The sequence below is a fragment of the Homo sapiens genome, chromosome 3, assembly GCF_000001405.40.
Source record: "Homo sapiens chromosome 3, GRCh38.p14 Primary Assembly".
NCBI lineage: Eukaryota > Metazoa > Chordata > Mammalia > Primates > Hominidae > Homo > Homo sapiens.
This window is the reverse complement of record NC_000003.12, coordinates 142,047,238-142,065,705: the sequence shown is the minus strand read 5'-3', so window position 1 is coordinate 142,065,705 and position 18,468 is coordinate 142,047,238. Positions and strand designations below refer to the sequence as shown.

Genomic DNA, 18,468 nt, shown 5'->3' with positions numbered 1-18,468 from the left:
CCTCCTCTTTACTAAAAAATACAAAAATTAGCCAGGTATGGGGGTGTGCACCTATAGTCCCAGCTACTCAGGAGGCTGAGGTGGGAGCATCACTTGAACCTGGGAGGCAGAGGTTGCAGTGAGCCGAGATTGCGCCACCCTGCTCCAGCCTAGGCGACAGCGTGAGACTCTGTCTCAAACACACACACACACACACCCACACACACACACACACAGAGTGAATGGTTCTAGCTTTCCTCTTTTTTTGGTTTAGGATAACTAAAATTACACGCCTGTAATTCCAGCACTTTGGGAGGCCGAGGAGGGTAGATCACTGGAGCTCAGGACTTTGAGACCAGCCTGGGCAACACAAAACCCCATTTCTACAAAAAGTACAAAAATTAACCAGGCATGGTGGCCTGTGCCTGTGCAGTCCCAGCTCCTTGCTCCTTGTGTGGCTGAACTGGGATGATTGCTTGAGCCTGGGAGGCAGAGGTTGCAGTGAGCTGAGATCACACCATTGCACTCTAGCCTGGGTGAAAGAGTGAGACCCTGTCTCAAAAAAAAAAAAATCTTAATGATCTGAAAACAGAATTCCATTCTGCAAATAATTTTATTTATTGACCAGTTCATCCCAGCGAGTTGCTTTACCTGAAAAACCTTTACCATCTGATCCTTTTTCTTGTTTGTATTTTTCCTGTTTATCTTCAGATACATTTTATTTAAATTAATAGTGGTTTGTTACCATATTAAATAATTAGATACTACAATTCAATAAGAACTACCTTTTAAAAATGAAAATCAGAGGAGTTCCTGATTTAAAACAAAAAATAAAGGAAAATATTAAAGTGTTTTTAAAGAGACTAAGGTTACCACATCTTTTATCTTCCTGTTAACTACTTTTGCAACATATATTGTTGTGATTAGGTAGAATTATACAACTTTGCTCTGTTTCTTTGATTGCGTATTGGAAACTCTTATTATCCCTTTTTTCAGTGACGTTGTTTTACATTGGATAACATCCAGTGACACTTGTGTATTCTTTACATCCTTTAGTGAGTCCATTTGGGACCCATTTACATATGAAAAGCAGCATGACTGACACTGCAGACATGTAAATCGCAAATCTAAAGGAATTAGAGAAGATGAAAACATTATTTATCAATAAGGTCCTCAGTCTCCCAAATGAACAAAGTAGGCACTTGAGTAATAATTTGAAAAAGTGATTCATCTTTTTTCTACTCCCTGATTAATAAAGGTGATATTTTCTTAGTATGCTTGGAGGTTGGGAATACTTTAAGTCAGTAGTTCTCGAATTTTATCAAGCATGAGAGTCACCTAGAGGGCATGTTATAAAGATTACCAGGCATCACCTCCAGAGTTCTGATACAGTAGGTCTGGGGTGGGACCTGAAAATTGGTATCGCTAACAAGTTCTCAGGAGAAGCTGATGTTTACTAGCACTGGACCATACTTTAAGCACTACTGTTGGCCAGGCACGGTCATCTCAGCATTTGGGAGGCCGAGGTGGACAGATCGCTTGAGCCCAGGAGTTCGAGACCAGCCTGGCCAACATGGTAAAACCCATGTCTATAAAAACACAAAAATTACCTGGATGTGGTGGCACAGGCCTGTAGTCCCAGCTACTTGGATAGCTGAGGCACAAGAATCATTTGAACCCAGGAGGCAAAGGTTGCAGTGACCCAAGATTGCACCACTGCACTCCAGCCTGGGCGACAGAGTAAGACTCTGTCTCAAAACAAGAAAAAAACTAAAAACCAAAAAACTACTGGTATATGGTAGGGTATATGAAAGTGGAGAATGAGCAACAAGTAGGATCAGCCTGATTTTCCTGCCTAAGGTTTTCATTCAATTCAGAAATTTTTTTTTTTAAGTACCTGCTATGTGTCTAATACTACGATGTCATCAAGCTTTACATGTCTTAGACTTTTCGACAGTGGATCTTTTGCTTTATTGAGAGGCTTCACCAACTAAGGAGCACTGTCTAAAATAAAAGACTAGTAAAGAAAGAAATAAAGTTATTCATTTTGTTGCTTTTTCAACCCTCTGTTTTTATGCTAGGTAATATTTTACCCTTTACCAATTTTAATGTGCAAACATTATTTCTGGCAATTCCACCTCTAGGTAGCTATCCTAAGGAAATAACTTTCAACAATTGATTAATGTAGACACAGACAGAGATGTTTATCATAGATGTTTATTATAAAGAGCAGAAAAGTAGCTCCTACACTGAAGTCTGTAGTTTTGCAATTACTAAATAAACTGTGTATGTATGTATATGATAGCTAATTTTGTAGCCATTAAGTTTTGCTTATGAAGAGAAGCATTTTAAAGTTAAAAATGCTTGATATACAAGAATTATTTTATGTAAGCATATTTTAATAAAATTTAAGAGCTCAGATTTAAGTGAAATTGTATTTTAGGTTCTTAACTATGTGAGATTTATTTATAGAGAAAAATGAGGAAATATAACAAATTACTTTTTACAAAGTATCTTTAGAATGTGAGATTATGATTGACTGTTACTATATATTCTCTTCTGTATTTGTAACATATCCATGACTGGATATTACTTTTATAATTAAAATATTCATGTTTTATATTTACATATTATTTCAAGTTTTATTTACACACATATATTAGTGTACAGCTCAGTGACGTTTTATAAGCCAGCACTCATATCTAGAAGCAGAATATAACCAGCACCCTAGAAGCATGCCTTGTGCTCTATTTCAAGGATAACTGCTATCATGACTTCTAAAAGCACAGATTATTTTCTCCTGTTTTTGTACTTTATATAAATGTAATCATACAGTATTTATTCTTTTGTGACTGGCTTCTCTTGCTTAAGAAGATGTTGTGAGATCAAGCTTAGTAATCATAGTTCATCCTTTCTCATTGCTATGTAATACTCCATTGTGTGAATAAACCATTATTCACTTTAATGTTATTGGGCATTTGGGTAGGTAATTTTAAGTTTGGGAATATTATGATTAGTTATGTCATAAATATTTTAGTCCATGTCCTTTGGTGAACACATGTACGTATTTCTACAGGGCATACACCTAGGATTGGAACTGTTTGGTTGGGGTTCAGTTTTAGTCGATACTCCCAGATGATTTTTCTCAAAGTGGTTATACCAGTTCACACTCCCACTGGCAACAGATGAGGATTTCTGTTGCTCCACATCCTTGCCAATACCTAATGTGCATTAGTCAGGGTTCTCCAAAGAATCAGAACCGCTGTCTCTCCTATTGGTTTTTTATGACTATATATATACACACACACACACACACACACACACATATATATTATATAATATATATATATGTGTATATATACAGCTGACCCTTGAACAACGCAGTGGTTGGGGCACTGACCTCCCTGTGCAGTCAAAAATCTGTGTATAATTTTAACTACTGATAGCTCACTGTTGGCCAAAAGCCTTACCGATAACATGAACAGTTAAGTAACCCATATTTTGTATGTTATAGATTGTGTACTGTATTCTTACAATAAAGTAAGCCAGAGAAAGGAAAATGTTATTAAGAAGATCTTAAGGGAGAGAAAATATGTGTACCATTCATTAAGTGTAAGTGGTTTGTCATAAAGGTCTTCATCCTTGTCATGTTAATGAAGAGTAGGCTGAGAAGGAGTAGGAAGAGGAGGGGTGGATTTTGCCGTCTCGGGTGGCAGAGGCAGAAGAAAATCTGTGTATAAGTGTACCTGTACAGTTTGAACCTGTTATTCAAATATCAGCTCTGTGTGTGTGTGTGTGTGTGTGTGTGTGTGTGTGTGTGTGTGTGTGTGTGTGTGTAGAGAGAGAGAGAGAGAAATTGATTGATTATAGGGATTGGCTCATACAGTTATGTAGGTCAAGAAATCCTGTGACCTGCTGTCTGCAACCTGGAGAACCAGGAAAGCTGGTGATGTCATTCAGTCTGAGTCTGAAGGCTGAGAATCACGGGAGCCAGTGGCACAAGTCCCAGCTCAAGTCTGAAGGGCTGAGAACTAGAGGGGCTGATGGTACAAGTCCCAATTCTAGGCCAGAGGCCTCAGAACCAGTGTGCCAATTTCACAGGCAGGAAAAGATGAATGTCCAGCTCAAACAGAAGCAGATTCTCCCTTCTGTTGCCTTTTTGTTCTCTTTGGGCCCTCAACAGGTTGGATGATGCCCCTCTCCATTGGAGAGGGTGATTTTCTTTATTCACTCTACTGATTCAAATGCTAGTCTCTTCCAGAAACATCTCATAGACCACCCAGAAACAATGTTTTATCAGCTATCTGGGCATCCTTTAGCTCAGTCAAGTTGACACAAAAGTTAACCATCACAGTATTTTTCATCTGTTTTCTTATACTTAGTGTGGTAAGTGTGCAGTGGTAATATATGGTAGCTTTAATTTGTATTTCCTGGATGATTAATGAATTGAGAGCCTTTCCTATATTTTTGGTTGTAAATTATGCTAAAACGTTGTTGTAGTTTGCAGCTCAGTATCAGATATATTTTAACTTTATTTCAAGGAACTTAATTATAAGAAGTATTTTACAAAATATATCAAAGGATATTATAACTTGATCCAAGGTTATGTATGAAACTTAAAAATAGCATACATTTAATTTTTAAAGTCTCAAGTGTTAGTGTCCTGTAATATGGTACCTAATGAGATTTAGTTTGAGTTGAATTATACTTTTATGATTGAATGTTATTTTCCTGTTGGCTTCAGCTATAAAAATTAAAGACGTTCTCATATGAAAAATCGTTCAGTAGACGGAGTTGAAATTTTTTGCCAAAGACAAATAAGTAAGTTGATAACCAGTCTCTGTCGGCTGTTGTCATCAGGAACACTGCTAGACTCAAGTAAGATAATATTTGTAAAGCACTACCCAGATGTTTGTGTTACTTTTAGAGCTTTAAAATCTTTGAAATATTCTTAACATCTTGGTTTTCTTTCTGTTTTATCCACTGATACCTTACTCCTAACCCTCCATGTGTAGTTCTCAGAATTTATTCCATTCTTGCTATTGTCTTGAGTTTTTAGAACAAGGTAGAAGGCACAGAACAACCCAAAAACTGCCCCCCTCCACACACACATTTTTATATATTTAAGTATAATTTAAATAAATAAATACAGAATGCTGCTAACCTCATTGGCATTTTAAGATCATATTGTAATGGCAGGCTATTGAGACAACATGGGACTTGTACCTAGCATAGTGCCTGTCTCACAGGAGCTCACTGTATATTTGTTGAGTGGATAAGACAATGAAAAAATTCTACTGTTGGGTTTTTCTCTTTTTAGGTTTTGTTGGGAGCTTCCATTTGTTGTCCCCTACCCACCAGTTTTGGATCTTTAATTTTAAAAAGAGTACTTAAGATGGATATGAGAAAGTTACTGTTATGCTGGGCACAGTGGCTCACGCCTATAATCCTAATGCTTTGGGAGGCTGAAGTGGAAGGATCACTTGAGGCAAGGAGTTCAGGAAAGTTTCTGTTAGTAAAATTTTCAAAGTGGAACTTTCTCTCAAGATAACCTCATATAGACAGTCAGAAAGGAGAACAGTAAAATTGTAAAATGACTGGAAAATAAGTATACATTTTAGTGATTTTTTATGTGGTACTTATTTTGGGAGAATCTAATTATTCAAGTACCCATTAAAATAAAAAGCAAAGTTAATGTTATCTTTATATTATTTAAGATGTATCCATGAGATAAATTCTATAATATATATTGGATTACTTATGAACAAAGAGAACTAGAAAAAACGTGTTTTAAGAGGAGGTAAATAAAAGAAGTTCCAAATAGAAGGAAAGAAAGCTGGAGAGGGGCTGGACACAGTTGCTCAAGCCTGTAATCCCAGCACTTTGGGAGGCCGAGGCAGTCAGATCACCTGAGATCAGGAGTTTGAGACCAGCCTGGCCAACATGGCAAAACCCCGTCTCTACTAAAAAGACAAAAAAATTAGCTGGGCATGGTGGCCGACGCTGGTAGTCCCAGCTACTCAGGAGGCTGAGGCAGGAGAATCGCTGGAACCTGGGAGGCAGAGATTGCAGTGAGCCGAGATTACACCATTGCACTCCACCCTGGGTGACAGAGCAAGACTCTGTCTCAAAAAAAAAGAAAGAAAGCTGGAGAGAACGGTGACACTATGTCTCAATAGCATCTGTTATCCTAGATGATGTTAAAAAGTTCTGTTGAATGCTTTTTTTTCACAACTCTCTTCTACTCTGAATTATAAAATGTAATAGTGTGGTATTAGAAAAGACAGCTAATCCTTTAGAAATTGGTCGTATATTATTTTGACCATTGGTCATTGATTATTTTACTGGCCAGTTTGTGAAGCTTTTCTTGATTTTTTTTTATTCCAGATCTTTAGACCTCACTATGAAACAACCCACTTGTTAGGAAACATTGATACAGTCATTGGAAAATCTTAACCATATGTGGTAGAATGGCCACAAGCAAATGCATGAGGCTTAGGCCTGAAGCTTCAGGGCTTTGTTTGATACATGTATCAATTTATATAGAATTGATCAAAGCATATCTATGACTGCTACTGATTACCATAGAAAAATAGCTGAGTAACTGTTGCTTTATTCTGTAATATCAATGTGTATAATAAAAAATAAATTTTGTTCATTGCCTCCAGTTCTGGCACACAGTTCCTAAAGCCCTTTGAATCTCCAAAGTAATGAGTGTCTTTTGTACTCTAATGAGAAGATTGTTGACTGGGGTCCCCTAGATAGCTTTAGGATGGGGGCTGGTGCCAGAAAGACCAAGGATTGAAACTTTCAACCCCACCTCTGACTTCCAGCAGGGAGAGAGGGCCTGGAGATTTAGATGATTACCAATGGCCATGATTTAATCAATCATGCTTACATAAGGAAACCTCTATAAAACCCCATAAATGACAGTTTGGAGAGCTTCTGGGTTGGTGGACACAGTGAGGTACTGGGAGGGTGGCGTGCTTGGAGGTGGCATGGAAGCTCTGTGCACCCACCCCCTACCCCTGCCCCATTGCCCTGTCTTACGTTTCTCTTCGATTTGGCTGTTGCCTTCCTGAGTTGTAGTAGCCTTTTAAACAAACCAGTAATAGTAAGTAAAGTGCTATACTGAGTTCTGTGTCATTCTAGCAAATTATTAAATCTGAGGCGGGGTCATGGGAACCCTCAAATTTGTAGTCTGTAGGCAGAAATGGGAGTAGCCTGGGCATGTCATCTGTGGCTAGCAGCTGTGGCAGGCAGTCTTATGGGACTGACCTCTTAGTCTGTGAGGTCTGGGCTAACTCCAGGTAGTTACTATCAAAATTGTATTGAATTGTTAGACACCTAATTGGTGTCTGAAGAATTGGAGAATTGGTTGGTGTGATTTAAAAAAAAAAAAAAAAACCCAAACATTTGGTGTCAGAAGTGTTGTGAGTAAAAACAGTTCATTATTAGGTACTTAAATTCAAAGATGGTGTAGATTTTATGTGTATGATCACTGGCTTCTCTCTTTTAATATCGAGGGTTAGTTATCAAGGTAATTTTTAAATGACTTGGACATTTAAAAAATAGAATAAAATACTAATTTATAAATAAACAAGGGTTAAATCAGGCTGTATAAATCAGTGGAGATGTAAGCACTTTAAGGCAATATCCTTATCTCCGTTTCTGTGAAATTTGAGTGTGGAATCTTGTAAGATAATTGTGACTATTTTATAGGCCATAAGGAGAAAAGTGACATCTGGTATATCTGGACCATAGACCTTAAAGGATTCTAACACAAACACATACCAAGCTTGATTGGTATTGAACTGGCCTGGGGAAAAGTATGTCATAATAGCAGAAACTCTGTGATGGTATGGATGGAGAACTTTATAAAGCCAAGGAACTGAATCCGGGCACCGTGGTCAAAGAGGAAAACTTCTAGCGTCTCCCTGTAGCCATACATAATTCTATAGGTATTACCATTCCCTCTCAACTCATTCTGTATTATTAGGGAAATAAAGTCTTTCTCTAACGTTTTTCTTTTCTCCTAATATAGTTTGAAATGCAGTCACTTTTACTTAAACTTATCTTTTGGAATAAAATAATTTATGGAATTCATAGCACTCAGATTGTTTCACCAGACTACTTGTAGAAATTCTGGATTAGTTGATTAACCACAGTTCATAGCTTCCCAGTTGCACATTATCCTTAGATTTCAAAAATTCCTTTCTGAGTAAGAGATACAAAACAACCCACCCAGGAACAAATTATTTTCTTGGTTGGCAGAGCAGTATCATTCTTAGCACACATGAAATCGAGCTAAGAACCAGAGCTAATCCAAGATTTTAGAGTTGTCTTAGCTCTGCTAATTTTCTTTATTATTTTGCTTGTATTTTCATTTTCACACAACTCTCTCAAGTGATTAAGCTGTACTTAAGTATTTTTTTAAATTTCGTCTTTAAAAAGGTTCTTACTGTTTTGTTTCAGAAAGGACATGCTATAGCTAATACACTTTTTGTAATCTTATGGTGGCCATGGAAGTGTGCCATTCAGACCTCCTGCTGGTGGGAGGCACAAATGACTGACAGTCCCAGCTGTGGTCCCTCTGGATCCACCACCTCATTCTTGCTGAGGTCACACTGATGGTGACTCCACATGGCCAGTGAATGAATGAGTGTAGGCCTGTTCATAAGAAACACAGTTCTCCTCTAATCAGCAGGGCATTACTTCCTATTACTGCATAATAATTACTCTAAAATTTAACAGCTTAAAACAAACATTCATCTCACATGGTTTCTGAGGATCAGCAATCTGGGAGTGGCTTACGTAGGTATTTCTGCCTCAGGGTCCCTCATGAGGTTGTAGTCAAGCAATTGGCCAGGGCTGTAGTCATCTGCAGGCTGGACTAGGGCTGGAAGATGTCCTTCCAGGATGGCTCACATATTCATACATGGATATTGGCAAGAGCTTACAGTTCCTTGCTGACTGCTGTTGACTTCAGATCCTTGTCACATGGTTGTCTCCACAGGGCAGCAAATAACATACTTTTTCAGGGTCCAGATTTGTTGGGGACAAGTAAGAGTAGTTTGGTTTTTGTCTTAGGTATCATTTATTCTGAGATGCTTTTTCTAAACATCACTCCCACCAAGGGTTGCCAGATATAGCAAGTAGAGGACAATATTTGGAACATACTTCTACTAAAAAATTATTCATTGTTCATCTAAAATTCAAATTTAACTAGGTATCTTATATTTTATCTGACAGCCTTTCTGGGTTTAGTTTGTCTTCTCTGTGCACCTGTGATACCCTGTGCTATCCCGCTTCTATATTTACCGCACTATATTTTAATTGTCTATTTAGTTGCCAGTATCTTCCCACTAGGGTGAAACTTCTCCATGGGAATAAACTGTCTTTTTTTTTTTTTTTTTAATTCACTGTTATATCCCCAGTGCCAAGCACTGTGCTTGACCTATAATAGGTACTCAGTAGCCAGGCATGGTGGCTCATGCCTGTAATCCCAGCACTTTGGGAGGCCGAGGTGGGCAGATCATGAGGTTAGGAGTTCGAGACCAGCCTGACCAACATGGTGAAACCCCATCTCTACTAAAAATACAAAAATTAGCCGGATGTGGTGGCGCGTACCTGTAATCCCAGCTACTCAGAAGGCTGAGGCAGGAGAATCGCTTGAACCTGGGAGGCGAAGGTTGCAGTGAGCCGAGATCATGCCACTGCACTCCAGCCTGGGCGACAGAGCGAGACTCTGTCTCAAAAAAAAAAAAAAAAAAAAAAAAAAAAAAGGTACTTAATAAATGCATGTGGGCTTTCCAAGAATGAAAACACTTGGTCTTATAATTGCATGCACTTTTCTCCTCCACCTTTTCTTGATTGTCATCATGAATCTCAGTAGAATGCTAATGCAGCAAAAGGGCTAGTAATTCCAAGATTCAAGAACTTGTGTTATCACTTTATATATAAGCTTCAGGTTCCCCTCTGGTAGCTGGAGATAATATCTGTTTCCTCTTGGAAGCAGGAAAAAAAATGATAAAGCCTACTATTTTCTAGGATTGTACTAGCTTCAATAATTGGAAGCTGGGCTTTATGTAATGATAATAGGTTTTAAGGACATGGAATCAAATAGGTCTGAGTTTAAATGTTAGCCTTGTCACATACTAAAGGTGACTTCTTGGGCAAATTTGTCATGTTTCAAAATGTCGATTTTCTTATCTCTAAAATGGGAGTGATCATGCACTTTCATAAGGGCTATTGTGAGGATTAAATGATAAAACAAGTGACCTTGCCTAGCAGAGTGCCTGTTTTTGGCACATGGTAGGTACACAGCAAATCCCTAATGAAGCTTCCTGGGGCTACCATATGTCCCGTGAGTGATTCTGTCTTTGGATTGATAGGCATTTATAATTCCACCAATTGTAGATTCTCATCCAAGTACATATACCAAATATCTGAACCTATGTTTTATCTCTTACTGAGATGGATTACTATGGCCACAACACACCAGAAGAATAAAATTAACCTGTTTTATGATAATCTAAAATAGCTCATTTCTCTTATATGTAGATGAACAATTCAATGCTTGTTGAATCCCATTCCCAGTGATAGGAGGAGACTGACTGCATTGCAGGATCAAAAGTGGATGTTTTTATGATTGTTGTCTGCCACAAACTAGTTATCTCTGTGATGACTTTTCCAATATCCAATATCTGCTTAAAATCTGGATCAGAAAGCTCATGAGGTTCTTCTTTCTCAGTCTTTGGCTCTTCTGAAAATCAGGTTCAAGTATAACTTTTGGCCCTTCACGTCTCTGGAGGTTTCTGTCCTTAATAGTCTTACATGCATTAGAATTGTTGATTGTACCATCTCTTATGTCCCTAACACTGTCTTTCCCCACTTGATCCATGCTTTTTAGTTTCATGAATAAGAAAAGTGAATCTCATAAAGGTAAAATGACTTACTGCAGACCACACACTGGGATTTGAACCTAGGTATGTTGACTGGGATTTGAACCTAGGTATGTTGACAAATCACAAATCAGCTGGGATTTGAACCTAGGTATGTTGACTTCATTGCAATATGCATACTACATGCCAGTTGTTTCAGTGGATGAGAATTATGAAACCTGTGCATTGATATACAAACACGAGGTGTTAATATTATGAAGTGCCACCTGAGATACACGGTAACCCCTATAGCAGAGGGTTTATAGTTGATTTAAGGAGAACTGATACATAAATAACAAAACATAGTGTCAATGATTCATATAGGCAAAACCAGCTACTAAAGTCATAATTATTTTTAGCCATATAGAATATTTTTTGATATTTTATTAATCTCATTTTGTGTCTGGATTCTTGTACTTAGCATAATGTTTTCAAGATTCATTCATGTTGTGTGAATCAGTAGTTCTTTTCTATTACTGAATAGTATTCTATTATATGATATACCACCATTTGTATATCCAGTCATGGGTTGATGAACATTTTTGTTGTTTCACTTGTGGAGCATTATTAATAAAACTGCTGTGAACATTCAAATACAAGCTTATGTGTTGACATAAGTTTTCATCTCTCTAAGGTAAATACCTAGAAGTGGAATTGCTGGGTCATATGGTAAGTGTATATTTAACTTTATAAGCAATTACCAAACATGTTTCCCAAAGTGTTTGTACAAGTTGGCATTCCCATCAGCAATGTGTATGAGAGTTCTAGTGCCCTGTGTCCTTGCCAGCACTTGGTATGGTCAGTTTTTTTTGTTTTCTATTTTAGTGATTCAAGTGAGTTTGGTGCTCAGTGTGGTTTTAATTTGTATTTCCCTAATGACTAATGATATTACGAATCTTTTCATGTGCTTATTTGCCATCAGCATATTTTCTTTGGTTACATAAGTGTTTAAATCTTTTGCAGATTTTTTATTGAGTTGTTTGTCTTGTTATTGTCTTATTCATGTTACAAGTCCTTTATCACATGTGTATTTTGCAAACATTTTCTCCCAGGCTGTCATGTGTCTTTTTCTTCTCTTAACTTTTTAAAGGCTTTTCCAATATCTCCTGCTTAAAATCCAGATTAGAAAGCTCATGAGGTTCTACTTTCTCAGTCTTAACTTTTTAAAGTTAAGAGATTTTGAAGAGCAGACATGTTTTATATCTTGATACATCAGTCTGTTTATGTTGCTATAAAGGACTCATGAGGCAGGATAATTTATAAAGAAAAGAAGTTTATTTTGGCTCATGGTTCTGCAGGCTGTACAGGAAGCATGGTGCCAGCATCTACTTCCGGTGAGGGCCTTGGGAAGTCTACAGTCATAGCAGAAGGCAAAGGAGAGTCAGCAAGTCACGTGGCAAGAGAGGGAGCAAGAGAGATGGAGGGAGGTGCCATACTGTTTTAAACAACCAGATCTCATGTGAACTACTCATTACCATAGGGATGACACCAAGCCATTCATGAGGGATCCTCCCCCATGACCCAAACACCCCCATCAGGCCCCACCTCCAACATTGAGGATTACATTTCAGCATGAGATTTGGAGCGGACAAACATCTAAACTATATCACTTAATGTGCAGTTTTTCAATTAAAAAAGATAGTTTGTGGTTCTTTGTATCCTATTTAAGAAATCTGGGCTGGGCGCGGTGGCTCACGCCTGTAATCCCAGCACTTTGGGAGGCTGAGGCAAGTGGATCACGAGGCCAGGAGATCGAGACCATCCTGGCTAACACGGTGAAACCCCATCTCTACTAAAAATACAAAAAATAGCCGGGCGTAGTGGCAGGTGCCTGTAGTCCCAGCTACTAGGGAGGCTGAGGCAGGAGAATGGCGTGAACCCAGGAGGCAAAGCTTGCAGTGAGCTGAGTTCATGCCACTGCACTCCAGCCTGGGCGACAGAGCAAGACTCCATCTCAAAAAAAAAGAAAAAAAAGAAAAGGGAAATCTAAGCCAGGCAGGGTAGTTCCAGCTACTTGGGAGGCGGAACTACCCTTGGGAGGGGTGGACTACCCTTGGGAGGGAGACTACCCAGCCTAGTAGTTCCAGCTACTTTGGGAGGCGGAAGTGGGAGAATCCCTTGAGCCCAGGAGTTAGAGACCAGCCTCAGCAACATAGTGAAACCCCATCTCAGAAAAAAAAGAGGAAAGAAAAGAAATTTTTGCCTAAGCCAATAATACTAAGGTTTTCTTTTTTTTTTTCTTTGAGACAGAGTCTCGCTCAGTCGCCCAGGCTGATCTCCGCTCGATCTCCACTCACTGCAAGCTCCGTCTCCTGGGTTCACGCCATTCTCCTGCCTCAGCCTCCTGAGTAGCTGGGACTACAGGCGCCCACCACCACGCCCGGCTAATTTTTTTGTATTTTTTTTTTTTAGTAGAGGCAGGGTTTCACCGTGTTAGCCAGGATGGTCATGATCTCCTGACCTTGTGATCTGCCCGCCTTGGCCTCCCAAAGTGCTGGGATTATAGGCGTGAGCCACCGCGCACGGCCAATACTAAGGTTTTCTCGTACATTTTCCTATAAGTTTTTACGTTGCTATATTCCTTTATTTTCCTAGAACTTTCCTAGAAGTTTTCTAATTTTAGCTCTTAAATTTAAGTCTATGGTAAGTTTTGTTTTTTGTGTTTTTCCAAGACAGTCTTGCTTGGCCGGAGTGCAGTAGTGCAGTCACAGCTCACTGAAGCCTTGACCTCCTGGGCTCAAGCTATCCTCCCACCTCAGCCTCCCGGGTAGCTGGGACTACAGACATGTGCAACCACACCCAGCTAATTTTTAAATTTTTTGTAGAGATGAGGTCTCCCTATGTTGGCTAGGCTGGTCTCGAACTCTTGGGCTCAAGCAATCCTCCCGCTTCAGCTTCCCAAAGTGCTGGGATTACAAACATGAGTCACTAAGTCCAGCCTTATGATAAATTTTGAGTTAATTTTTATATATGGAATGAGAGGAAAGGTTTATTTTTGTATCATATGAATATCCAATCATTCCAGCAACAACCAGTCAAAAAAGATTATCATTTCCCATAGAATTGCTTTGTACCTTTGTCAAATATCAATTGACTATGTAATTGAGGATCTGTTTCTAGATTCTGTTCTGTTCCATTGATGTACGTGTCTTATCTTCATGCCAATACTGTACTCTCTTGGTAGCTCAGTGGTTCTCAATGAAGGACAATTTTGCCCCTAGGGGACATTTGGCAATATCTGGAGACGGTTTTTTTTTTTTTGAGATGGAATCTCTCTCTGTCTCCCAGGCTGAAGTGCAGTGGTGCAACCTCCGCCTCCCAGGCTCAAGCAATTCTCCCGCTTCAGCCTCCCGAGTAGCTGGGATTACAGGTGCACACCACCACGCCCAGCCAATTTTTGTAATTTTAGTAGAGATGAGGTTTCACCACATTGGCCAGGCTGGTCTCAAACACCTGATCTCAAGTAATCCACCCATCTTGGCCTCCCAAAGTGCTGGATTACAGGCCTGAGCCACCGCGCCAGGCCTGGAGACATTTTTGATTGTCACAACTTGGGGGGTAGGCAGGAAGGTTGCCCCTGGGTAGAGGTAGAGGCCAGGGATGGTGCTAAAGATTCTGCAATGCGCAGGAGAGTCTTCCAGAACAAAAAATTAGCTGGTCCAAAATGTCAGTAGTGCCAAGGTTGAGAAACTCTGCTGTAGCTGCATACTAAGCCTTAAAACCAGATAGTGTAATCTTTCGATTTTGTTATTTTACAAAGTTGTTTGAGCTATACTAGGTCCTTTGCATTTTATATAAATTTTAGAATCAACCTTATACATTTCTACAAAAAATATCTGCTGAGATTTGATTAGGATTACATTGATCTATAGATAAATTTGGGAAGAATTGACATATTAACAATTTTTAATCTCCTGATTGATTGATTGATTTTTTGAGATGGAGTCTCACTCTGTCACCCAGGCTGGAGTGCAGTGGAGTGATTTCAGCTCATTGCAACCTCTGCCTCTCAGATTCAAGCAGTTCTCCTGCCTCAACCTCCCAAGTAGCTGGGAGTATATATTTATTTTATTTTTATTTTTTTGAGACAGAGTCTCGCTCTGTCTGTCACCCAGGCTGGAGTGCAGTGGCGTGATCGTGACTCACTGCAAGCTCTGCCTCCCAGGTTCATACCATTCCCCTGCCTCAGCCTCCCGAGTAGCTGGGACTACAGGCACGTGCCACCACACCCGGCTAATTTTTTTGTGTTTTTAGTAGAGACAGGGTTTCACCGTGTTAGCCAGGATGGTCTCGATCTCCTGACCTTGTGATCCGCCTGCCTCGGCCTCCTAAAGTGCTGGGATTACAGGCGTGAGCCACCGTGTCCCGCCACTGGGAGCATATAGAAAGGCTAGAAGAGAAAACAGGGAACTAAAAGCAATTCAGTGTCGCAGAAGGATAGGTGTCTGGGATAAGAGTAAAGATGAAAACAAGAACCATTATCATAAAGGATCTTTTTTTTTTATTATTTTTTTTTTTTTGAGATGAAGTCTTGCTCTGTCACCCAGGCTGGAGTGCAGTGGCTGGATCTTGGCTCACTGCAAGCTCCGCCTCCTGGGTTCAAGCGATTCTGCCTCAGCCTCCCGAGTAGCTGGGATTACAGACGCTTGCCACCACGCCCAGCTAATTTTTGTATTTTTAGTAGAGATGGGGTTTTACCATGTTGGCCAGGCTCGAACTCCTGACCTCGGCCTGTGATCTGCCCGCCTCAGCCTTCCAAAGTGCTGGGATTACAGGTGTGAGCCACCACACCCAGCCTGAATCTTCTGATTTATAAACATGTTTTTTCTCTCCATTAATTTGTCTTCTATAGTTTCAGCAATCTATTGCAGTTTCCATTGTATAACTCTTGTACAATTTTGTTAGATTTATCCCTAAATATTTAATATTTTATGCTATTGTAAATAATATGTTTAAAATTTTTAATATCTGATTTTGTTTTGTTGGCAGAAGATAGAAATACAGTTGGCTTTTGTATATTGACCTTGTTGCCTGTGACCTTGCCAAACTCACTCCTAGTCCATTTATATAGATTCTATAGGATTTTCCATATAGACCAATATTTTGTTTATGTACAAACAAATTTTACGTATTCCTTTCTTATTTTATACCTTTCATTTCCTTTATTACACTGGCTAAGCCCTCTAGTTCATTGTCAGAATAGTAAAGGTATACATCATTGTCTTGTTCCTGATTTTAGGGGAAAAGCATTCAATTTTTTTACCATAAGTATGATTTTTAGCTATGGGTTTTCTATAGTTGCTTTTTAGCATTTTGAGTAAGTTCCCATCTATTCCTTGTCTGCTGAGAGTTTTTGTCATGAATAATTGTTGAATTTTGTTAAATGCCTTACCTGCATCTATTGAAGATGATAGTGTAGTTCTTCTTTTTTATTCTGATGATATGGGGAATTATATTGATTGATTTTCCAATGTTAAATCAACCTTCTGCCATTCATGGGATAAACTCAGGCATATGTTATCCTTTTTATATATTCTAGAATTCAGTTAGCTAAAATTTCATTTAGAATTTTTGTGAGTGTTCATGAGGGATATTGGGCCGTAGTTTACTTAAAATGGTTTTGTTTTGTTATTTTCTTTGTTTGTATTCCTTTTCTGAAGTACCTTTTAACCTTAGTTGCCATCTTACTTTCTCTCACTATTTTCAGAGGATGAACACTTTTTATAAGAAATCTGCTGTGTTTTGAGTGCTATATGCCAGGAACTACAAGAAGCCCTTCATATTCGTTATTTCATATAATCCTCAGAACCTTCTTCAAGATAGATGCTATTATGATGCCCATTTTAGAGGTGGATAAAACGGAGACTCAGAGCAGTTAATTTCCCAAGTGATAGAGGCAGTTCAAATTACGTCTTTCGGGCTGGGCACAGTGGCTCATGCCTGTAATCCCACCACTTTGGGAGGCTGAGGCAAGAGGATCACATGAGCCCAGGAGTTTGAGACCAGCCTGAGCAACATAGTAACACATTGTCTCTACAAAAAAATTAAAAATTAGCCAGGCATGGTGGCATACTCCTGTAATCCTAGCTACTGGGCAGGCTGAGGTGGGAGGGTTGCTTGAGCCTGGGAAGTCAAGGTTGTAGTGAGCTGTGATTGTACCACCGTACTCCAGCCTGGGCAAAAGAGCGAGACCCTATAAAATAAAAAATCAGGTCTTTCAAATCAGAGGTTGAAAACGGCTCTGCATTTATATCTTTCTTTAGAAATATTTTATTAATCTGAAATATTACTGACAAAACTAGGAGGAATTTAGAAAACTATACCTCTACTAATCTTTTTTCTCTTCTTTTGATTTTTTTTTTTTTTCCCTTAAGACAGGGTCTCTCTCTGTCATCCAGACTGGAGTATAGCGGTATAAATTCGGCTCACTGCAATCTGTCTCCCAGGCTCCAGCAATTCTCCTACCTCAGCCTTCTGAGTAGCTGAGATGATAGGTACATGCCACCATGCCCAGCTAATTTTTGTATTTTTAGTGGAGACGAGGTTTCACCATGTTGCCCAGGCTGGTCTTGAACTCCTGGGCTCAAGAAATGAGCCCACCTCATCCTCCCAAGGTGCTAGGATTACAGGTGTGAGCCACCACACCCAGCTAATCTCAGAGCACCTCTTTATGCTAATTGGTTTTGATATTCTCTGTGTGCTTATTTTTCAGTTTGAAAGTGTCTAATAATTAGCATATTAGGGCCAGGAGTGGTAGCTCACACCTGTAATCCCAACACTTTGGGAGGCCGAGGTGTGTGGATCACCTGAGGTCAGGAACTCAAGATCAGCCTGGCCAACGTGGTGAGACCGCGTCTCTACTAAAAATACAAAAATTAGCTGGGTGTGGTGACAGGAGCCTTTAATCCCAGCTACTTGGCAGGCTGAGGCAGGAGAATCACTTGAACCCGGGAGGCGGAGGTTGCAGTGAACCAAGATCGCGCCACTGACTGCACTGGAGCCTGGGCAACAAGAGCGAAACTCCATCTCAAAAAAAAAAAAAAAAAAGCATATTAGTTCACTAATTTGCAAGTTTTATCAAGCACACATTATTGTGAATTAACTTGAGTGTTTCTAATTGGATATGTCAACCTAAAATGAAGAAATGGAGGCAAAACTAATATAAGTGGAGAGTTTATTTGGGCCAAACTTGAGGATTACAACCTGGGAACATAGATTCAAGTTTCCCTGAATATACACTCCTGTTAGCAGCAGTTACAAGTGGAGTTTGAAAGGCAAAATAGGGGGACAGGGGGTGGACTGTACAAAGTTGTTTGCTAGGAATTCTCACTGGTTTACAGAACCAGTGAGAATTGATTAGTGATTGACTATACGTTGTTAACCTATAAGGTATGGATTATAGTGTTATTATAATTCACACCTGATGTGGATTATTAAGCTAATTTATGGCTACTTATGGCAATAGTAAGCAGTTTAAACAGATGAATACATAGCTCAAAGGAGGGGAGTAGGCATGATTGTAATCTCATTTTAATATCTATCTGGG

General features: G+C 39.3%; 1 protein-coding gene across 19 annotated transcripts in view; it reads left to right on the top strand.

Moving 5' to 3' along the window:
• Nucleotides 1-18,468, top strand: part of TFDP2 (transcription factor Dp-2) — a 205,117-nt gene that overhangs the window by 83,839 nt on the left and 102,810 nt on the right. For 8 of the 19 annotated variants that reach the window (NM_001375778.1, NM_001178138.2, XM_047448785.1 and 5 more), the window contains exon 4: nucleotides 11,557-11,591. The exons of the other annotated variants lie outside the window; for them this stretch is intronic. The gene's annotated coding sequence lies outside the window, so the exon portion shown is untranslated. The remainder of the gene's footprint in view (nucleotides 1-11,556; nucleotides 11,592-18,468) is intronic. 19 annotated transcript variants of the gene reach the window in all.